Here is a 4,921-nt window from a genome sequence, read left to right as displayed (position 1 = left end):
TGTACGTCATTACTTCACCTTAAACGTGTTCCGATTCCCAAGAGAGTTTTCCATTCTCACCGCATGTGCGAAGGAGTGCAAAAGGAGGAATGGGTTTCAAACCCAATCCATTAAAAGCACATTCAAATGGATCCCTACAAGATTTCCCTGTGACATAATCAGAGACAGTAGAAAGAAGGGTACCTGGTTTTCTCCAACTGACTTGCTCCAAATGTCACCAGTGCAGAGACTAGAAAATACCATCTTGCTCCTCCTAGAGCTTCTCTAAGTGAATCACTGGGACTAGGGCCTGCTGGAGCTTTGCCTTCTTTTCTTTGGCAAAAATGACAGCCTCAGTGGCACCTCCTGCATGGCCCAGAGGCACCACCCCTTGCTTCCAACTTCAATAATATTCCAAACAAACATGAATCATTGAGTGTGGTTGGGCACCAAAGAAAGCTCTAACTGCACCAAGAGAAAACTTCAGATGACCACGAGGCTCTAATCTCTTGCATCAATTTAACCACATTAATTACGAGAAAAACAGAAAGAGAGACAAAAAATGAACAATTTGAAGGAGAGTTTTCATACTCTTAAGTGGCATATTGCTATTCTTTCTACTAAGTACTCCTGTAAAATAACAGCAATAATTTCTAAACATAACTGTTTTATATGTGTAAATATATGTATGTATACATTTTCATATAAATATTTATATTTATACATACATTAAATGGTTTATAACGTTGAAAATATTCTTTTAGAACATCAAGCTCAACATGTCAAAACACTCTCACTACCTTCACCTTCCAAACACACGTGCCACCCTAACTGTCTGATTTCAGTAAGTGACATGACCATCTCCCGGTAAGAAGGCTGGAAATTACATTTGACTTGTCTCTTGCCTCCTTCATTCGTCGGTCCTGTGGAAAATTCCTCCAGATCTCACTCACATCCACTTCCTCTTTCTAAATTCAGTCCTTCCTCCTCGCAACCTATCTGCACAAAACCACCAGATTAACTTAGCACAATTCCTCTATGATTCAGTCAGGCCCCCAGTCAAAACTTTCAACAGCTCCTCATTGTCGACTCAATCTCTTCACAGTCACTCAAGACCCACAGCATTCCGGCCACACCTATCTTTCTTATCCCTGTACTCCACACTAATCCCATTACTTCCCATTGCCAAGCCCTTCCCTCTGCCAGTCGTCCCTCCTCCAAGAGGGTCAATGCCATGCTGTCACTGCAAGCACTTATGGTTGAACATTTCTAGATGCCTCATGGCCAGAAGGTTCTTTAAGTTCTGGCCAAAGTGCCCATTGCTCCATGCAACTTCCTGATGTCCAGCGCAGAATGCTTTCCTTGACTTCTCCTGGACTCCTCAATTGCCCTGTGATGCTCTGTGCACTAGCTTCTCTTCTTAGAGGGGAGTCACTTTCAAGGTCAGGTGACTCCAATCTAAAGAGTCACATTTTACCCCTTGTGCTCTTTCTGTACCATCTTAGGAGGCACTTACTGTCTTCATAATTGTTTGCTAAGAGGAATAATAGACTATAGATGACTTTCTGATTTGAGCATCTTCCTTTCATCCCAAGAGAAAACAAAAGGACATACCTGTAGGTCATAACGCCATCCATATAAAGGCAGGTCAATATTCAAAGCCAAGAGTGCCTGATATGGTTTGGATTTGTGTCCCCGCACAAACTTCATGTCGAACTGTAATCCCCAGCGTTGGAGGAGGGGCCTGCTGGGAGGTGATTAGATCATGGGGGCGGATTTCCCCCTTGCTGTTCTTGTGATAGTGAGTTTTCATGAGACCTGGTTGTTTAAAGGCGTGTAGCACCTCCCCCTCTCACCTTCTTCCTCCTGCTCCAGCCATGTATGATGTTCCTCCTTCCTCTTCACCTTCTGCCATGATTGTAAGTTTCCCGAGGCCTCCACAGCCATGCATCCTGTACAGCCTGCAGAACCATGAGCCAATTAAACCTCTTTTCTTTATAAATTACCTAGTCTAAGGTAGTTCTTCACAGCAATGTGAGAATGGACTAATACAGAAAACTGGTATTGAGAAGTGGGGCATTGCTATAAAGATACCTAAAACGTGGAAGTGACTTTGGAACTGGGTAATGGGCAGAGGCTGTAACTGTTTAGAGGGCTCAGAAGAAGACAGGAAGATAAGGGAAAGTTTAGAACTTCCTAGAGACTTGTTAAATTATTGTGATCAAAATGCTGACAGTGATATGGACAATGAAATCCAGGCTGAGGTGGTCTCAGATGGAGATGAGGAATTTATTGGGAACTGGAGTAAAGGTCACTTTTGCTATGCTTTAGCAAAGAGGTTGGAGGCATTGTGCCCCTGCCCTAGAGATCTGTGGAACTTTGAACGTGAGAGAGATGAATTAGGGCTGGGCATGGTGGCTTATATCTGTAATCCCAGCACTTTGGGAAGCTGAGGTGGGAGGATCACTTGAGTCCAGGAGTTCGAGACCAGCCATCTCTATTAATTTTTTTTAAAAAGAATAAAAATAAATAAATAAAAAAGGGATGATTTAGGATATCTGATAGAAGAAATTTCTAAGCAGCAAAGCATTCAAGATGTGACCTAACTGCTTCTAACAACATATGCTTATATGTGTGAGCAAATAAATGATTCAAAACTGGAACTTATATTTAAAAGGAAAGCAGATGGGGGTCAATTTGAGTCATGCAGGTTGTAAGAAATGTGAGTTTTCACTTCTGTGGTCCTGGACTTTATCCTTGACCACCAGGTAACAATGATTGTCCCCTTGAGCTCACCACCACCTCCAGGACTGCCTGTGTCACATGAGCCACCCAGACCCCAAGGACTGTTAGGCTGTGGCCCTCCTTAATCTTTTCCTCCTGACAGGGTCATGGCCAGGATGCTGGTGCAGACCATCCACACAGGCACCCAGAAGATCCAAGACATTGAGGCCAAGCAGAACATTGAAGAGAAGATGGTAGCTCCCAGCTACACCAGCTTTAGCATTTACCGTCCCATTACAAAAGAAAAAAGCTCTCTGAGGTGGGCAGGAAAGAAATTTGAGGAGATCCCAACTGCACACATTAGAGCATCCTACAACAACACACAGATCCAGGTAATCTCTGCCACTAATCAGCCCCTTGCCCATACTTCCTGTGGCACAGAGGAATTTCTGAATGCCAAGAAGGGCACAGGCATTAATGCACAGACAACAGGCATAGCAGCCGTGACAAAAGCTGCAGGAAAGGGTGTTACCCACATCTGAGTTGTGGTGAAAGGCCAGGGGCCAGGACACCTGTCTGCCATCCAGGGACTGACCATGGGGGGCCTGGAAGTGATCTCAATCACAGCAACACCCCCATCCCACACAATGGCTCCTGCCCCAAGAAGGCTCCGAGGCTGTGAGGGAAAGGAAGCTTACACTTGAACCTAACCTCAAGTCTCAGCTCCAGTTGGACCTTGCGGAAAGTTCCCTGTCAGAGCTCTTTCCAGAATATGGCTTGTTGGAGATCCTTCAGACAGTATGGGAGAGTTTTGCCTCCTTATATAGTGTCCTTTGCTTGCACCTCCAGCTGGGGGTGGATGTGCCCCAGCAATGAACTTTGCATCCTTAGACAAGAGGGGAGCTATGGGGGCAGCTGTGGCCTAGGCCTAACCTCTGCTCTGAGAAAATAAAATAATGTCTGTACCATCTGTTGTAAATAAATAAATAGAAAGCAGAGTGTAAAAGTTTGAAAAATTTGTAGGCTGGCCGTGTGATAGAAAAGAAAAACCCATTTTCTGGGAAGGAATTCAAACTGGATGCAGAAATTTACATAAGTAAAGAGGAGCCAAAAGTTAATAGCCAAGACAATGGAGAAAATGCCTTGAAGGTGTTTCAGACACCTTCGTGGCAGCCCCTTCCATCACAGGTCCAGAAACCTAGGAGGGAAGAATAGTTTTGTGGGCAGGGCCCAGGGCCCTGCTGTCCTGTGCAACCTCAGGACACTGCTCCCTGCATTGCAGCTGCTCCATTTCCAGCTGTGGCTAAAAGTGCCCCAGATATGCCTCAGGCCACTGCTTCAGAGGGTGCAAGCCATAAGCCTGTGTGGCTTTCATCTGATGTTAAGCCTGTGGGTATGCAGAGAGCAAGAGTTGAGGTTTGGGAGCCTCCACCTAGATTTCAGAGGTTGTATGAAAATGCCTGATGTCCAGGCAGAATTCTGCTGTAGGGGCAGAGCCCTCATGGAGTCTACTAGGGCAGTGCAGAGGATAAATATGGGGTTGGAGCTCCCACACAGAGTTCCCTCTGGGGCACTGCCTAGTGGAGCTGTGAAAACAGGTTCATCGTCCTCCAGACTCCAGAATGGTAGGTCTATTGACAGCTTGCACCATGTGCCTGGGAAAGCTGCAGACCCTCAGTGCCAGCCTGAGAAACCATCCGAGGCAGTATACCCTGCAGAGCCACAGAGGCAGAGATGTCCAAGGCCATGGAAGCCCACCCCTTTCATCATTGTGGGCTGTATGTGAGATATGGAGTCAAAGGAGATTATTTTGGAGCTTTAAGATTTAATGACTGCCCTGATGGGTTTCAGACTTGAATGGGTCCTGTAGCCCCTTTGTTTTGGCTGATTTCTCCCTTTTGGAATGGGTGTATTTACCCAATGCCTGTATCTTCATTGTATCCTGAAAGTAACTAACTTGTTTTTTATTTTACTGACTAATAGGCAGAAGAGAATTGCCTTGTGTCATATGAGACTTTGGACTGTGGACTTTGGAGTTAATGCTAAAATGAGTTAAGACTTGGGGGACTGTTGGGAAGGCATGATTGGTTTGCAGTGTGAGAAGGACATGAAATTCGGGAGGAGCCAGGGGCAGAATGATATGGTTTGGATTTGTGTCCCTACTCAAATCTCATGTCAAATTGTAGTCCCCAATTTTGGAGGAGGTAGTGGTAGTGAT

The 4,921-nt window shown here is 45.3% G+C and overlaps 1 pseudogene; it reads left to right on the top strand.

Moving 5' to 3' along the window:
• MRPS11P1 (mitochondrial ribosomal protein S11 pseudogene 1) lies at positions 2,911-3,719 on the top strand (annotated as a pseudogene).

Source organism: Homo sapiens, chromosome 20 (assembly GCF_000001405.40).
Source record: "Homo sapiens chromosome 20, GRCh38.p14 Primary Assembly".
Classification (NCBI taxonomy): domain Eukaryota; kingdom Metazoa; phylum Chordata; class Mammalia; order Primates; family Hominidae; genus Homo; species Homo sapiens.
Note: the sequence above shows the minus strand (reverse complement) of the source record. Positions and strands in the feature narration are given on the sequence as shown.